This window comes from Homo sapiens, chromosome 10 (assembly GCF_000001405.40).
Source record: "Homo sapiens chromosome 10, GRCh38.p14 Primary Assembly".
NCBI classification, from domain to species: domain Eukaryota; kingdom Metazoa; phylum Chordata; class Mammalia; order Primates; family Hominidae; genus Homo; species Homo sapiens.
In genome coordinates this window covers 93,986,323-94,004,890 of record NC_000010.11, presented here as the reverse complement: position 1 = coordinate 94,004,890, position 18,568 = coordinate 93,986,323, and the positions used below count along the sequence as shown (strand labels likewise).

The following is an 18,568-nucleotide window of genomic DNA, read 5'->3' as shown; positions in this document are numbered from 1 at the left end:
CAACATCTTGTTTCACAAATGACAGAAAGTGTCAGGTCCCCACCTGCATGATCATCTGGCTCAGGTAAACTCAGATGGGCAGTTGCTGTGGGGACCTTGCTCACCATTGTCCCCACCAGCCAGCATAATGCCTGACACAGGGGAGTGACTCAAAATAACTGCTGAGTGGATCAGTGATGAATGGATGAGAAAAGATGGTTGAAAAAAAGTCCAAAATTGTGGGCAAAAAGGAGACAAGGATGAGGGGCAACACGTAAGCAACAAGAATGTGAAGAAGGCAACCAACCACCTTCTTACATCTTGGGCTCAGATTCTCCTCAGCTTCTCCACAAAGACACCCATGCAGTAGCTAAATCTCTGGGTCAGTTTCTGAGTCCCACAGGTGCTGTCAAACGCAGAGTTAAAGTATTTGACCTTTAATTTTTAAGTTTTATATCTGCTTTCTCTTTTCATTTCTATATGCCTTAGGAACACTTTTTCCCCCCTTAAGCTTTCACCTAAACTAAAACTTGACATTGAATTAGACTATTACTAGATTCTAAGGTCATGATTTGGACCAAGCTTCATCTTGCAGGTTTGCTGCTCTGCTATTTAATGTTTTACTCCAGAAAAGGAAGTCCATACTGTGTGTCCAGAATCCTCAAGGATGGTGTCTATCCATCTGATAATAGAGTTCCAATTCTGCCTGTCTTGGGAGGAACATAAAGAAATGAGAGTATCCTTGCTTACAATTTTTTTTTTTTTTGAGATGGAATCTCGCTCTGTCACCCACGCTGGAGTGCAGTGGCGCGATCTCAGCTCACTGCAACCTCCGCCTCCTGGCTTCAAGCAATTCCTTGCCTCGGCCTCCCAAGTAGCTAGGATTACAGGCGCCCACCACCATGCCCAGCTAATTTTTGTATTTTTAGTAGAGACGGGGGTTTCACCATCTTGGCCAGGCTGGTCTCGAACTCCTGACCTCATGATCCACCCGCCTCAGCCTCCCATAGTGCTGGGATTACAGGCATGAGCCACTGCACCCAGCCTACAATTTTTTTTAAAAGGCATTTCATTTTCATCTCACAGGAAGGCCATTTTAGAGGCTACCCTTGATTTAACACCAAAACTTCTTACAAGAGCACAAGCCCCAATTACCCAATCCATGGTGTGCACTTCATTCTCCTTATACTCGCCCACATAAACAGTGTCCCTAGCTCCTTACCACATCTGAAGCTGCACCTGTCACTCTTAGGAAAGCACACGGGGTCTCCAGGAATTCAATCTATGCACACTCAGGAGCAGCAAATAATTTTAATTCTCGCATTTGATGACCATGGCTAAAGTACAGCTAATTTTTTAAGTTCAAAGTAAAATCCAAGTGGCTTCTAGATTAATATCTCTATTTTAGAGATACAACTGATTAACAAACAGATAATGAACTGCCACAGCAGAATTGCAAATGTGGTTTAATGATGGGAAATTTGTGAACCTGATAGAACACATGAGCAGGTCAAATGTGAAAAAGCATAAAATCATCTCCAAGATTACCTTTTTGGCATTTGATAAAATTCAACTGCCTTTCATCTTTTGCTTAAATCCCGGAATATAAAACTACTTCTTCAAAGTAATTTAAACTATTTTAAACCAAAAGCCAACATTATGCCTTCTAGAAAGTATGAAAAGCATTTCCATTAAAATCAGGAGTAAAATAAAACAGTCTATTATCTTCACTCAGTTATTAATGTTCTAGAATTACTAATTTAAAAGAGAAGTAATCATTATTTGTGGGTAATATAATTCTCTACCTAGACAGTGCAGGAGAATCTACTAAAAAGTTAAGTTGATTAAATAAAAAATATAAAACCTTTAGAAAATAATGAGTAAGACACAGAACTTCTCCACTATGGACCACTGACCCCATTCATTTCAGAACTGGTATTCCTCGAGTGGTCATCTGCAAGCTTTGTGCTCAAATAAACTCTATACTTAATCATATTTTCTGAATCTCATTTGTTAAAGTTGACAATCTTCATGATAGAATGTTAAGCAAGGAATCTAGGATCCAAAATTGCGTATGATGTATTTATCATGTGATCCCAATTTTATTTGAAAAAACAAAAGTTCCATTCTACTGCTCCCCAGCTAGGTAGCTTAGGACAAATCCATGAGTCTCTTAGGAGACCGGTTCCTTCAACTCCTCCAAAACCAAGAGGGCCAAGCTTGGACCCTTCTCCTTTCTTCCCCTCAATTGTAAGTATTGGATAACAGCATATAATCAAAAATTAATAAATAAATATAAACAGAAGTATGTCTGTGTTAATAATTTAAGATAAAATATAGAATTGTAGTTGTTAAAGCAAAATTATTTTTGGATTAAAGATTTTTTTAAAAATGAGTATCTCCTAAATGGGTGATATATTTTATATCTGACTCCTTAGATAGTGATAGTTCATTAGAAATAGACAGCATGGTGAGAAATGAGCACACTCTCTTAACTTCTATGACTAATTTGATCTGGGCTTGCATGCCTGCAACAGGAACGCCCTCCACCTGTTGTCAGCCATCCCATGACTTGGCATTAGAGACGCCCGGACCATTCTCAGCCAGCAAAAGGCAGTCAAAAGCCTATCCAAGAGTGTCATGGGAGAGCATGCAAGGTTGCCTGATGTCTGTGTTGCACTGCTGGTGCAGGAAATTGATTTTTGGAGTTCTTTTTGCAAACTTATATAGCTTCTATGCATAGCTCAAAAGTTCCTGCCTTCTTCTCTTAGATTCAAATAATAATTGAGCTTTTTTTTTTTCACAACTACCTCTAGATTTACCAATCCCTACCACTGTAAATTTTAAAACTGTGCCCAAGCCATGATGAAAGAAAAACCTCAAGCACAGTAAGCCAGACCGAGTTAGAAGCAAATTAGGTCTAAGTGAATCCACTCAGACCCCGACAGTTAACCAAACTGCTCAAGCTCTGCTCTGTCATCCAAATTCATTCTGCCTTTGTGGAGGGAAAAGGAATACAATTTCATGCCCAGAGTATTTAGCTTTTGTGAATTTTATCCACCTTTCTGAGATTGGCAAAACAGGCTACTAGAGAGGGCTTCAATTCTTCCAGGCAAACATTTCATATGTGAAAAACACGCTGAATCAATGAAATCTGAGTTTGTGTTATTAATAACAACAAATGAATTGAAACTTTCTTTAGAAATCACAGTAACTTGAAACAACTCCTGTGATATCCAAATTAAGCCATGTTATGTGATATTTTAATCCCAGATTTGTATAGCATGTACTTGGTCACAGGCTTTTTTCCCAAATGATTTTTTTCCATTCTCCAGATTTTCCATAGTCAGTAATATTATATAGTTTAAACCTAAAGTGAAGTCATCAAAACAGAGTCTCTCTTTATGTCTGTCTCTTCCTTAATTCTACATATAGCAGCCTTACTGTTTTATTATTATTATGTGGCTATTCCTATAAAGCAATGAAAATATACAAATGCTAGCTGAGTTTTGTTATAGCTCTGAACTTGTGTGCACCCATCATCAGCCCCTCTAAAGGAGACCTTTCATTATTTTTACAAATGGAGCACATTTCCTTGAGGTTACCATACAACCACACAGCCAGCAGTGATGCCACTACTAAGAAGAGAGAGATAAGAGGTTTTGGGCAAACATCACCGATGACACTGGCCAGTACTGTTTGACTAACAGCCCTGTCAAGATTAGGCACCCTATCTATGTTTTGTTTTATTTTCCCCAGATATCTTCCTCCTTCCTCTTCAAGCAAGTAGCCCTGTACTCACTGCTTCAGAGGAGGGATATGGGGGGCTGAGGGCAGACCTATGAGCCTTTTTGGCTTTTGTTTTAAAAACTTAAACCCCAAGAGCACAGAGGAAAGGGTTAAAGGGCATTAAGTCTGTATCATAGACCCAGTATTGAGCAGAAGCAGGGAGGAGACTGGAGCTTTACTCTGACCCTTGCCCCCGTTCCAACTCCTACTGGCTGGTAGTCAGGGGAGAAAAGACAAAATGTCTCATAGGTCCTGAAAGCAGAAGGAACCTCGCTTCCTGGCAGAAGGCAATGAGACTTCAGAGACTTCAGGGCGCTGCGGCTGCTGCACCCATGAGAGGCAGCTCAGTGGCACTGTATATGAAGTCACCTATGGACAAGGACAGTGGCTATTTCAGTGGCAGCTGGGGAGAGAGGAAGTAAGACCTGCAGCTGCAACACCATTCAGAGAGCAGTAGAAGGGATGAAGATATGAGGCTAAATCCTTTTTCTGCCATTCAACTGGGAGACTCAGTAACAACAATAAAAATTATCAAAGAAACTAATATTTGTTAGAATTCTTATTCTAGCCCATGTACAGTTCTAACAACTATAAAATTATCAAAGAAGCTAATATTTGTTAGAATTCTTATTCTAGACAATGTACAGTTCTAAGCCTCCGACATGAGTTATTTCATTTAATTCTTACAAAACCTATTTGATAGGTACTACTGTTACCCCTCTATAATGTAGATGAGGATGCTTAGGCCCAAACAGGCCAAGTATCTTGCACAAGGCCATGCAGATGATAAGTAGTAGAGGCCAGATATAAATGAACCTAAGCAACCTGACTCCAGATCCCAAACTTATAAAATGAAATGAGGGAAAATACAGTTATATTTCTTGTACATCCAAGTCTATGGCAAGTCTATTTAGTTCTTCTCAAACTTGTCTCTTTGTCTAACAATAGAGCCCCTCTTTCACGCAAAATCTCAAACAGAGCCCCAGTATATAAGACAAATAAGAGCAGGACTGCTCGGTAAAAGCCGAAGTAAACGATAGAGATCTTCATTCCTCAGCATCTCCCTCACCCTGAAGAGGCCCCAAACACTCCTGGAACATAGTTTGAAAACCCCTGTTCCCAACCAATATCACTCTGGATTATGTGCTTGAGAGACAAAAGCAGCCCAGCTAGAACACCAACAACAGCCAGCATAATCAAAGGAAAAAGGCAAAAATAATCCCCCACTGGCAGTTACAGAGGGCCATTCCAATCTGGGCCCTGACACTAACCAGCTCAAGTTTGAGCACTGGAGGGCCCAGAGGTGGTGGAATTCCGGGCTGGAGCAAAGAGTCAGGAATGAGGCAAATCCAATAAACAGGCAGAGGCGGGAGCAGAGCCAACAGGGCGCTGGGGCCAGCGGTCTGTGGTGAGCGAGGCGGCTGCAGGAACAGAGGTGGGAGCGAGAGGGAGGCCAGCCCAGGAACTGCTCCCACGGCTTCGGGCTGTCCAGATGCAGTCTAGGAGATGGCAACAGTGAAAACTTACGAGTATTTCAATAACCAGTGTTCTGGGGAAGAAAAAAACCAACTACACTGCCCTCTTTCTCACCAATTCCAACATTGCATTTTCCCCACGTACAGTCACATACCATTCAGTGGCTGATAGTGTCAGACTCAACAGCCAGAAATGCCTGCCTTTGGGAGTAGTGTGGGTGACAGTTAAGAGTGCCAGAATGCTTGGACTCACATCCCGGATCTCCTGCATACTAGCTGTGTGACCTTGGGTAAGTTACTTAACCTCTCAGTGCCTCAGTTTCCTCATCTGTGATATGCAGATAATAAAAGTACCTACCTCAGAAAGTGGGTTGTGGGGATTAAACAAGTTAGTACCTATAAATTGCTTAGAACAATACCTAGTACGAAGCTCTTACTAAATGCTAGCTATATTATCATTCTCTTATTTTGATAGCTTTCTTCTCACTCCTGACTGCTTTCTCTTTATTCTTCCATGCTGTATTAGTTTCCTACAGCTGCTGCAACAAATGACCACAAACTTAGTAGTTTAAATAATACCAATGTGCCACCCTACAGTTCTGGAGGTCAGAAGTCTAAAATGGGTTAGTAGGGCTACATTCCTTCTGGAGGCTCTAGGAAAGAACTCATTTTCTCTCCTTTTCCAGCTTCTAGAGGCTTGGCTCATGACCCCTTGCTCACATCACTCCTGTCTCCTTCTTCTAAGAACACTCGAGATTAGACTGAGCCCACCCAGATCATCCAGGATCATCTCAAGAGCTTTAATTTAATCACATCTGTAAAAGTCCCTTTTGTCACGTAAAGTAACATATTCACAGGTTCCAGGCATTCAGACTTGGACATCTTTGGTAGATCATGATCTAGCCTACCATCTCCACCTCCCCAAAACCTAACACTGCAGACTGGGAAGACTTGAGGAGCCCTGGGGGAAGAAACAGTAATATTAGTAGTTAACTTTGAGCACTCAGGATGTGTCTGTCTCTATGCAAAGTGCTTTAGGTGAACCATCTCACTTTGGCCTCAAAGCAACCCTGTACAATTACTATTGCTATTTTACGCAAAGGTCAGTTGCTCATCCAAGGTTGTACTAGGTAAACCCCAGGGAAATTTGATTCTAGAGAATCTTGTATTTACGAATAGAGTGTCCAGGCTCTATACCTTAAGCCATGATAACTGGATTCAGGGAGTCAGGTGGGGAAAGATCATTAGGGGCCTCAGAGACTGTGCCGCAAGAGGTATACATGCCCCCTGGCTGCAAAGAGACAGGGGGTCCTGCAGAGGCCACGCTAAACTACACACAAAAGGTCAAATGTCCAGAACATCTCCTCCTACTCAAAGGAGAAACCTTGGGGTTACTCAATAATTTCTTCAAAGGCAGGTTTGGACCAAAATCTAAGAAGAGATCACTGAGGCTTGCCACTACTTGAGGAGGAGAAATGAAATGTCCATTCTTGCCCCCAGACCAGCCTTGCAGTTCCAGTCGAACTCCCACAAGAAAAGAGGAATTCAATTTCCCTAGAAAGACTTCCGACTGAGTCAGATTGATGCAGACCCTCCAAAAACACGCCAGGAGGGCTTACAATCCTGGTAGTCCACCAAATGGCCCTCGCCTGTAACAGTTGATCTATACTAGGACCAAACCACCGGCCACCCTCCACCCCATAACAGTTATGAATATGTAAGCCCCCACATGCCAAAGATTTCAACATGAGCCCAATGGTTTCACCAGTACCCACCTCTTTTCCTACCAGTTCTTACACAGTGAATGCTCAAAAACAAGTGTGGCTGACACAGGGTGGAAAGGGGCAAGCTAAACAATTGCTAAGCACGTCTATTACGGTGGTTGAACTATCCATGGCATTTCAAAACCTCAACTGCTAAACAATTTAGCCAGATCACTATCTGAAACTTTCTAATGAGCTGAGTTAAAGCTATTAGGTTTCACCTAACCAAAAAAAAAAAAAAAAAAAAAAAAAGGATGGTTATTTGTTTTGGGTCATGAGCCCAGAGGTTAATGTAGGATAGCACAGTGATCAAGAGAACAGACTCTGGAGACAGCCCACTTTGACTGGCTCCTGACACTGGCACTTCCTTGCTGTGACTTTATGCAAATCACTTGACCTTTCGTTGCTTCAGTTTTCCCATCTTCAAAATGGGCATAATCATGGAAGTCCACACTCCCTAATCCAAATTCTGAGCAGCCAGCCAACTGTGATTCAGAAGCTTTATGGATTTTGTAATGGTAAAAATGCATATGCCATATCTTACATAACACTTTCAATGGTATCTGCAGCAAATAAAATATGCCCATAATTTCTGAAGTAAAAATATATGTGTAGTTCTCACCAAGTGAGAAAAATAAAGACTGTCATAACCTCACGTCACTTCAGACCAAGTTTTGTAGCCAAATTTATGAAAATCACAGTTTTTAGAGCTTTTTTGATTTTGGAAATACAGCTAAAGGATAAGATCTCTCACATTGACTGAGTAATATATAAAAATTAAATGCGTTAATTGATAAAAGTTCTTGGAGTGGTGCCTGGCATGTAGTAAGCACCATAGTGTTACCAACAACAACTTCTATTATTTTCATGTAAAATTTGGAAACTTTAAAGTTATGACTAAATTTCATTTGGAAACCAGTACACTTTGGAGATTAATAGGAATTACCCCTTTGAAACAATCCTCTAGGGAAGGATTTTCTGAGATGATGAAAATGTTCTATATCTGCACTGTCCAATACAGTAGCCACTAGCTGCATGTAGCTATCAAGCACTTGAAATATGGGTGGTTAATTTCATTTAACTAATTTCAATTCAAATGTAAATAGCCATATGTGGCTAGTGACTACCATGTTGGACAATGTAGCCTCCGAGGGCTTGGTTCCCAATCTGGCCCACGAAAATCTATTTAAGCCATAACACAGATGAATTATAGCCTCGGTAAAAACCCTGCATTCTGCATCCAGGGAGCAGAGAGGAACACATGATGCTAGAGAGAGTTCTGCCCTTCTTTGTAGGCCACATGGTTGGCCTATAACAAAATGCATCTTTGATATCGTCTTCCTCTCTTTCTCCATTCCCTACTCCTCCATCTCCAACTCTCCTCTTTGGGCCTTACATAACTAAATCACATGCTTCCCTAAAACCCTATCAGAACCTTCCACCCCTCTTCCAGAAGCACCATGTTTCCTAATCACCTGTCTTCCCTCGCCTCAACCAAACCCCTACTTGCTCAATGCCACAGATCTCAACTGAACGTTGGGAGGAAAGCAACTTCAGCAAACAAATTCACACTCTTAGCTGCTTCTACTGTTTTTGGCTTTTCCTCTGCTTCTCCTTCTGAACCCAGAAGCTCTGTTTTATTGTTCTTCCACCGCAGAAGTAGTTCCGGCAGAGAGAGAAGGCATTAAGACTAAAGCAACTGTCCTATATAGGCGCCTGTCAGCCAGGTGTGTGGAACACACACGCGCGCGCACACACACACACACACACGTGCAGCAAGCCTCACTCTGTGCAAATCCCTCCTCTTGCCCAGGCATGGGAAACGTCCCCTGCTGTCTACTTTAGAAAACTCTTCCACCATGCACAGTATTTTTTCAATCTTCTTTTATTCATTTAGAAAGTTACAGGTAACAAATTGCACATCAAACAGTTTTTTTAAAGTATACAACAAAAGCCCAGAGAAGAATGTGACTAAGAATGGTTGTAAATAGAAAAACAAAACCAACCGCCTTCATTGGAATCTAGCTTCTAACCCACTGGAGTATGGAATTTTTAATGACAGGTCAAACTTGGACCACATCCCAGGAGTTTATGTTACTAAGAGGACTGGAAGAATGTCCCTCCAGTTCAATCTGGCTTCTTACCTGGTAAGACATGGCTCCTGGGTATAAAGGGAATTTCCCCCATGGGGCTGTAAATAAAGGATAGTGTTAATGGTAAACATTATACATTCCTCTAGCTCCTTTCAATTATATTATCTCCTTCTCCAAAGTAGATATTTATGTTGTAAAACCAAAGTCTTAAGATTTAATACTGGCCCACAATTATCTCTAGAGTCTTCTAGGTGCAAGCATTTTGCCATGAAAGCCACAGCAAATGCCTTCAGTAGGGAAAATGAGACATCTACATAAATAACTCCCAGAAGGTAGAGAGCAGAAAGGGCCCTGGAGAAAAAATGCTGCAGAAATCAGAGCAGGGGGAGGTTGGCTGTTTCAGGAAAAGCCTCACACCACCAGCAAAACACAGTTTGAAGGATGGTTAGACTTTAGAGTGGTGGATGTGGGGGAAGATGTGCCATCAGATGGTCTAGATGACAACACCATCAGACATTCTTCAGAAAAGTATTTATGAAGACATCGATGCATACAATAACCTAGAGATAGTCCACCTCTCTCCTCAATGACAACTGGGCACCTGTACAAGCACCTATGGGGTCACCTGCTTCCACCTCCCAAGTCAGGCTCTCAAAAATTCTCCCTAGTGGGGTCAAGCATTCTTGGCCTCAGTAGTGCCCATTCTGTGGCAGCGGCCCTGCCCTACCTCTACGGGGGGTATAAGAAACATGAAAACATACCAATCCTGCAGAGATCTAAAAGACCTACGGGCAAATTTTGCATAATGCAACTGAAATTATGACCTTCGTGCAAATAAAACTTTTCGAAGACGTGAATCCTACTTAACAGGTATTCAGGGAACTCACTATTTAAAATGACACTGATTAATCACTAAATGAGTCTTACACTGAATAATTGGTTAAGTCGGCTGAACTCAGTGTCTGATGGCTTAAATACAGAGCGAGGGGCGAAAGCTTCCACAAATTTACGCTGTGCACCTAACATTCGCCACGACAGAAGACTTCTTGCTCTAGTGTATTTATTACTGTAGCATTAAAGGACTTGAAGGCAAAGCTAGCTATTCTAGTTATCAGTTAGAGCGGGACCTGGTCCAATATTGTATTTTCTAGGACTTGATGTACACAAATCTCTCCAGGAACAATCTCTTGAGCACTTTCCTTGAAATACCGCTGCTAAGTACCGCCACAAAAAGAGCTTACGTTTTTCTTTGCACTGGCCACCTCCACACCGTATTCACAACACGAAGGGGCGACCTGAGGCAGGCGTCTGGAGTGAAGGCACTGGCAGGGTGTCCTTTAGCCCCTGCGAGGGCGGCCTGCATGCCCTGGAGGACCGCCCGCCTCGGGTCCCCCGGGAGCGCGAGGACACTTTTCCGCCAGGTACGCGGAGTCGGGCTGCTCCCTTAGGCGGGTCGACTGCCTTGGGAGAGAACCAGCCCATCCTTCCCTTTCTCCAGTCCTCAGGAACCGAGCTACAGAGTCGCTTCCTCACCTCTTGGCTCCTGGCGAGTCTCGCCGGCGTCCCCAAGCGCAGCGTCCCTCTGGGACCAGCCGTCCGCGCGCCTGTCGCTAGCGGCGTCGGGTGTCCCCGCTACTGTGTGTCAGCTGCAGAGCCGATGCCCAGGAACGCGCAGGAGCCAGGCAAGTGCCCGAGAGGCAGAGCCCGGGAGGCAGAGCCCGGGAGGTAGAGCCCGGGCGCGCCGCCGCTGCCCCTCCCGCCGCGCGAGCCCGCCGCCCGCCGCGTTGCCCACGTTGCCCAGCGTTACCGTGTGGACCCGCGCCGTTCACAGTCCGCTCCCGCCGAGATGTGCGCGCTGCCCGGACAGCGGCGGCTGCGCGGGCGGCAGCGGGGCCCCCGCCCTGGGCCGGGCTTTCCCAGAACTCGCCCGCCCCGGGTGAGAGGCCGCTAGCGCCACCGCGGGCGGCCGGGCGGGGGAGCGGCCTGTGCCGGGCCCGCCCCCGGCTCCTGCCGCGCGGGGAAGGCGGGCGCGGAGCGAGGACCCGGCCGCCTCCCCCGGAGCTGGCTGCTGGCGGCGCGACCCCTTCCCAGACCCCTGGCCCTGACCCCTAGGAGCCATCCTTTCTGGCGGGAGCCAGAGAGAGCGCTCCTGGGGCGCCCGGCTCCGGGAAGGGCGGGAACTCTGCACACCTCAGGCGGCGGGAATTTACTCTCACACTACCCCAGGGAACCACCCCTGGTTGACAGATATGGAAACTGAGGTTCACGGCAGATAAAGGACACGATCAAGGTCTCTGTAGTAGATGGCAGCACCAAGTCTCGAATCTGTTCTGTCACTCGTTCATTTAATACATATTCATTGAGCCCCATCAATGTGCCCAGCGTTGTGCCAGGCTCCGGAAATACTCCTTTTGCTGGTAATGGTGGCCATCCAGGACTGCGGACTCCAAATCCAGTACTCTTTCATTGCTCAAGCAAACCTGAAGATCTTCACAACTAGAAACTACAGGCTTTGCACAGAACTTCCTTAGCCGCTGGAGCGGCTTTTATGAGTCTTAGGAGAGCCAAGGACCTGGAAAAAAAAATCAAATCATCATCCTCCTCCCTTTCGCCTAAACCTGTGCCTCCTCCCTCTACCTGTTCTAATGGAAGACCGTTCCCTAGGCCTGACCTCTTCTCCTACATCCGATCAGGACCCATTCCTGTGGCCCATATCGCCTCCCACTGTCCTCTCCCTTGGACCAAATCAATCCTTCAAACCACCGCTGTATTATTCTTCCTTTTTTACAACTTTAATCTATGCAGAAAACTTCACTGGCTCCCTATTGCCCTCCAAACTAACTCTCCATGGCTGTGTAACCCAGCATGCCCTGGCTAATAAGGATCACCCAACAGAATGTCTCTCCCACTCTAGCTCTGTACCTGAACTTAAGCTGAGCCTTCTACCTGGAGCATCTCCTCCCACACACTTTCCTCCTGCTCATGTTTGACCCTTTCTTTCGGGTCCCTCTTAAAAGTGATCTCTCCTTCTTGGAGGCTCCAGAACACAGGAGAGGTTGGAGCAAGAAAGCACAGGAGGCCCAAAGAATCCTGCTGTTAAGAAAAATCTGCCAGTCTGGTCCTTAAACTGTCTTGCTGTTTTCTCACCACTAGGACTTTAATGAAAACTAACATGATTGCCTCCCTGGAGAGCTGATTTCAGAAAGGTCTCTGCAGAGGGCTCTAAAGAAATTCTTTGTTCCTTAAGATCTTGGCATTTTAGCACTAGGACAGTGAGAAGTGGTAATTTACTCAATCCCTGAGGCTATGTTATCCTGAACAAGTAAATAAAGGGCTGAGGAAAGAGGTAGCATCACTGACAATAAACAAGGTAGGCTATTTATTTAATATACAGTATTATATTATGGTTTTATAATTCATTTAATGATCAAATAATATCAAACTTCATCCATCACCTGGCACCCCCAAAGACTTTTTTTTTTTAATTTGGCACATGGGAATAGATAGCTACAAACTGGTAGATGCACAAGCAGTTAACATTGAATCCTCCAAATGAGTCATTGCATGATTAGTAAGCAAGGCAAATCTAGGTCCGTTGAGCAGGAAAGTTATCCAAGTGTGATAATCACTGTGGCCCCATCCCTAGAAAGGGGCGCCTTCCTCAAATCTTTGCAAAGAGAGCAGGTCCAGATCAGTGTCCTTTGCTCGCCCCATGGCTCCCTCTCTAAACGAGATTGGAGGGAAGTCGTGTCCCCGAGGCTGCCTCACCACATTGGAATGTCTGAGCTAACAGTACTTCCAGAGTGTTCATTGCTCCTCTGAACAGCACTGCCCAGACTTTCTGGAGATTTTAATTCACTCCCCAACCTCGCCAACAGTTGCACACAAGGTGCCTTTTTTACACCCTGCTCTCTGTTCAGTGAAACACACAGACCATCTCAGGGGAACAATGGCTCCATTCAAGACTTTTTCAGAAGTGCACCATATAACCTCCACTCTGTGGGCTGCTGCCAGCCATTATCTAGAGGAAGAAAGACTGTCAGATAAAGCGCCTGAGAATTGGGAAAGCACTGGATAATTTCCATGGAAAATTCAGCTTCAGTAAACTAAGTTATGCATCTCTTTATACAAGACCATTCTGCATAGACAACAACAACAGCCCCAAGAAACAATCCTGTGGAGACTTTATTTCAGTAAAGTGCATCTATGTTTGAAATTTCAGAAGAAAACACACATGTCTTTTGAGCTTATTACATTACATACTGGTCTCCAGTCAATGGAAATTGATTTAAATACATGATAAACATAGAGACTAGGGAATTTAAGTAGTAAAATTATTTTAAGAAACGGAACCATCTTCCCTCTTTCTTTCTGCCTCCCCTATCCTGTAATTTTCAGAAAGGAGGTGGGGGCAGTGGTCTCTGACTTCATGGTGGTGGTTGCCAACAAGAGGCCCCACACCCTCTACTGCACATATTACAGAAGAAGGATTGGCGCTTTGCCACACTCAACAAGCCAGCCATCAGTTAACCCGTTCATAAACAAACCATTAGTTTGGGAACTGAGTAGTCAGTGTGGGCACCATTGACTAATGCATTGATCTTTGTCAAACAGCTGCTGATCGTCAAACAGAGGAATTTGCCAACAGACATCTGGGTAGCACAAAGGCCAAGGAAGGACTGAAGGAACAAGGCAGCCCTCAGCTTTTGCAGTTGCCATTTTCTCCCTTTCAAAGTCACTGCATCAAACTGTACCGGGCTTACTAGCTGTCTGCAAATAGACTAGCAAGTTCAGATGGTGAGCAGAGAGCCAAAAACACACTTCCTAGAGTTGTCTTGTATGTGAGGTTAGATGTACTAAGGCAGTTTGAGGTTGATGAAAAACAACCAGCTTGTTAAAGCTGTAGGTATCTCTACCTGTGTGACATGGTTAGGAGTGAGGGTCCCCAGGGAACAGTAAGCAAAGCAGGGAAAGATGATCTTAAACATCCTCTCTCAGCGCAGCCGGTGTTAGGGGAACAGAATTTGGTGTGGGACCACTTGAGTTGGATGCTCAGATCCACCCCCAAGTTGTGAGCCCTCGGACAGGTTACTTATCTCACTGTGCCTCATTTTCCTCTAGATAAATTGTACCTACCTGATATGGTTTGGCTGTGTCCCCACCCAAATCTCAAATTGTAGTTCCCATAATTCCCCCGTTGTTGGAGGGACCCAGTGAGAGGTAATTGAATCGTGAGGATGGGCCTTTCCCATGCTGTTCTCATGACAGTGAATAAGTCTCACGAGATCTGATGGTTTTATAAAGGGGAGTTTTCCTGCACATGCTCTTTCTGTCTTGCCTGCTGCCATGTAAGCTGTGACTTTGTTCCTCCTTGCCTTCTGCCATGATTGTGAGGCCTCCCTAGCCAAGTGGAACTGTGATTCCATTAAATCTCTTTTTCTTTATAAATTACCCAGTCTTGGGTATGCTTTATGAGCAGCGTGAGAACAGACTAATACAGTACCCCTCAGCGTAATTGTGAGGATTAAATGAGCCAGTGTATATGAAAACACTTAGAACGTATAAAGGTTTATTACTTAAATAAATAAAACTCAGATTTTTATTTTCATTTAGACTTATGGTATTTAAAGGCCATAAACCCCTTTGAATATTCCAAAATCTTGTCAATCTTTTGACAGAACATTTTTTTCTTCTTGAAACATTCAGGAATCTCATTGTAATACCTGGTTCAGAGTTGTTGTCAGCAAAAGTTGGGACCAGCTCAAATTGTTTCAAGGAGCCATAATGAAAAATTATAAAAGCACAATTTTTTAAAAAAAGTTTTAGCAACACTGGAATTCCAAAGCATAGACATTAGAAACTTCTTGTTTTTCTTCTCGAGGTAGGGTCTTGCTCTGTCACCCAGGCTAGAGTGCAGTAGTGTGATCATAGCTCACTGTAACCTAGAACTCCTGGGCTCAAGTGATCCTCCCTCCTCAGCCTCCTGAGTAGCTAGGACCACAGGCAAGCACAACCATGCCCAGCTAATTTAAAAAAAAATTGTTTTGTAGAGATGATGTCTTGCTATGTTGCCCAGGCTGGTCTTGAACTCCGGCCTCAGGTGTGGAGACTTCTCTAGATGTAGTTTTTAAGGTTTTATGTTGTTCTTAGTGGCCAAAATGCACAGTTTAAAGAAACAGGAGAGAATACAGAATGTATTTTTCAAAAGTAGATGCAGCTATATTTCCAGTCCCACATCCTCTTCTAGAACCTTGCCACTGATATCAGGTGAAGTCTAATTCCCCTTCTCTTGAATATGGGCAGCCCCTTAACTAATAGAATGAGGTAGAAGTGATGCTTTGTGGCTAGAGTACCTATGTCATGGAAGTTGAGACAGCTTTTGTTTGCCTATCTTGCTCCAGAACTCTCACCCAAGAACCCAGATGCCATGTTGTAAGGAAGCCCAGACCACTTGGAGAGGCATGTATGATCCCAGCTGACAGCCAGCATCAACCTTGAACATGTGGGTGAATGTGCCTCCAAGGGATTCCAGTCACTAACCTTCAAGCCATTCCAGCAATAGTAAGTAGAGCAGATCAAAGCTATCCCTGCCATGCCCTGCCCAAATTGCTGGTTTTTGAGCCAAATAAATGGTCAGTCTTTTAGGCCATAAGTCTTGGGATAGTTCCTTACATAACTTTCATAACTGGAACAATAGGAACGAATGTTGGGAGGTAGGTAGAGTTAGTTGAAGCTCGTGAAAGTTTTCTTCTGCTTGCCTGTATTTTCACAGTGGAATGGTAAACAAAGTCAGCTGGACGTGGTGGCTCACGCCTGTAATCCCAGCACTTTGGGAGGCCGAGGTGGGCAGATCACGAGGTCAGGAGATCCAGACCATCCTGGCTAACACAGTGAAAACCCGTCTCTACTAAAAATATAAAAAATTAGCTGTGCGTGGTGGCGGGCGCCTGTAGTCTCAGCTACTCAGGAGGCTGAAGCAGGAGAATGGCATGAACCTGGGAGGCGGAGCTTGCAGTGAGCCGAGATCGTGCCACTGCACTCCAGCCTGGGTGACAGCAAGACTCCGTCTCAAAAAAAAAAAAAAAAAAAAAAAAAGAAATGGTAAGCAAAGTCATCAGATGAGACTGAGAATGGGGTAGGACATGCAGAAAGTTTGAGAGAAAAGGTATGAAGTAATCATCCTGGAAAGTGAGAGAGCAAATGGAATAGGGAAATGCAATGCCAGGTATTAAATACTCACCAGAGTACAGTGAGCCCAGTCACAATGATTGTACATTTTTCTTCAGCCAGGTTTAGCTGCATAGGTACAGGAAAAGAAAAAATGGAGAGTTGGATTTAAGTAGGGTTGTTAACAAAGCAAGAAAAGGTCAAGGGCTTAGGATACACTCAAGGACTGTTTATAATGATTGATGATAACATTAAACCAGGAAAGGAAGAAAGTGAAGATATGAGGATGGTCAGAATCCTCATAGCTAAAGGTGAGGTTTACTGTGCTAAAAGTTTTGTACAACAATATGTTGTATTTATTTTCACAAAACCTATGAGTGGACACTTATCATTTCTGTTTTAAAGATAAGGAAATCAGAAGCTCAGAAAGGTTAAGTAACTTGCCCAAGTTTACACAGATACCTAGATTTGAACTTAATCTGGTCCTAAAGCCATCCTCTTACCCCAGCCTTCCCTGGACATCTGAAATAGCTTCTTCCACACTGAGTTCACCTTGCTGACCCCAACACCACATCATTCCTTGAGTCTTCTACAGAGGAAGCTAGTTACTAGGGTAGAAAGAGGAAGGGCTGCCTAGCTCCTGCTGTCCCACCGCCACTTTTCCCATGGCCTTCCCGAGAGAGTCTTTCTGCTTTCAAAACTTAGGACGCTTGCATATTCCACTTTCTTCCTGTCTTCACTGAAGACTTACCAATGTCCTACGTCTTAGCTTCCTCTCCAGGCTATTTCTGGCATTATTTTAAAGGAGTTCCACCTCCCTGCCCCCTTCCATATTGAGACTATGTGGTGTCTTCCATGAGGGCAGGGACTTGTGCACACTTTATCTTAGGCTGGAATACCGTACCTGCAAAATGATAGTTTCTCAGTCAATCCGGGAACCTCTTGCCTCAGTGCTCTTATTTCTATTCAAACTCAGCGGAGAGTTTGCAAGTGAGGTTATACCTGAGCCCTCTAGGGTCTCCCTTCTGAAATTCCCTTCACTGACCACAATATTCCCTTCAGCTTCCACTCTTAGTCTGACACGTCTTTTTCTTTAGCCTTATTTTCCAGAAGCAGCTTCTCACCCTATGCTATATCTGTCTCACCCTGACAAAGACATTGCATGCAGTGTATAAAAGAATTACTTCATCAACCAGAGCCCAGTGTTCGTGAAATGTGTCCCAAACCTGTGCTCCCGAGCATCTAAAATCTGCATTTCTATTCTGATTCCTTTCTCCCTTCTGTCCATCTTTCCCTCCTACCCTCCTTCTGATGTCCTCCTATCAGCCCTTCTGATGTCCTTCGGATCTCTCTTTTTACCTTGAGATAGCTACCTCTCCTGCTAATGGGTCTTGTTCATGCCACATGTTTTTATAACTAACCTTTTGGCCTGAATTTGTTCATGATTTTGGCATAGATTTTTACTAATATAACAAAAAAGTGGACTGGGCACAGTGGCTTATGCCTGTAATCCCAGCACTTTGGGAGGCCAAGGCAGGCACATTGCTTGAGGTCAGGAGTTCGAGACTAGCCTGACCAACATCGTGAAATCCCATCTCTACTAAAAATACAAAAATTAGCCGGGCTTAGTGGCGCACACCTGTAGTCCCAGCTACTCAGGAGGCTGAGGCAGGAGAATCACTTGAACCTGGGAGGCGGAGGTTGCAGTGAGCGGAGATGGCACCACTGTACTCCAGCCTGGGCAACAGACTCTGTCTCAAAAAAAAAAAAAAAAAAGTGAAGAAACAACATCTAAACTCTTTATAACCTTTACAGTCTACACAGAGATAATATATCTTCTCTTCCAAGTTTCATGAACATTTACAAAAATGGGTTCAGAAAATCTCAAGGAATTCCAGGAAATATATAGGCCATATTCTCTGACTAAAATGCAAGAAAACTAGAAATTAATACTAAACATTTAAAGCCAAAAAGCATCAGCTGCTCGACAATTAAGACACAGTGTCCTAAATAATTAATGGATCACAAAGGAAACCCAAATTATAATTAGAGGTTTTTTGGAACATAACAAAATGAAAATATTGCATAATCCAAATTAATGAAATATGGCCAAACAGTAATCAATAGCAAATGTGTATCTTAAATTTTTTTATTATTAAACAAGAAAGAGTAAAAATATATGAACTGAAAATTTAAATTAAAAACACCAAAACAATTCTAAGAAAAAATAAAACAAAAATAGTAAAGATGAAAGCCTTAACCAACTAGAAGATAAATCCAAGAGCTGGTTCTTCAAAAAAAC

At 43.7% G+C, this 18,568-nt stretch overlaps 1 protein-coding gene and 1 long non-coding RNA gene across 23 annotated transcripts in view, besides 1 other annotated feature; both read right to left on the bottom strand.

Annotated features, from left to right (window-relative positions):
• Positions 1–10,960, bottom strand: part of PLCE1 (phospholipase C epsilon 1) — a 338,893-nt gene extending 327,933 nt beyond the window's left edge. For 10 of the 22 annotated variants that reach the window (XM_047425286.1, XM_006717885.5, XM_006717888.5 and 7 more), the window contains exon 1: positions 10,633–10,960. The gene's annotated coding sequence lies outside the window, so the exon portion shown is untranslated. Of the gene's footprint in view, positions 1–9,150 lie in introns of all 22 variants that reach the window. The other 12 variants (XM_047425284.1, XM_047425291.1, XM_047425296.1 and 9 more) reach the window with 4 other exon arrangements.
• Positions 10,857–11,146: a silencer, noted in NCBI's record as "silent region_2632". NCBI's record gives its function as "represses an Ori minimal core promoter by ATAC-STARR-seq in GM12878 lymphoblastoid cells {active_cell/tissue: GM12878}" and the evidence as "EXISTENCE:reporter gene assay evidence [ECO:0000049][PMID:35858748]".
• On the bottom strand, positions 11,172–17,944 carry LOC105378438 (uncharacterized). Its single transcript, XR_946215.2, has 4 exons — positions 17,906–17,944; positions 17,018–17,170; positions 16,340–16,395; positions 11,172–11,671 (listed from the first exon to the last, which is right to left on the bottom strand). It is a non-coding gene; the product is annotated as an uncharacterized LOC105378438 (long non-coding RNA).
• Positions 17,945–18,568: the final 624 nt, after the last annotated feature.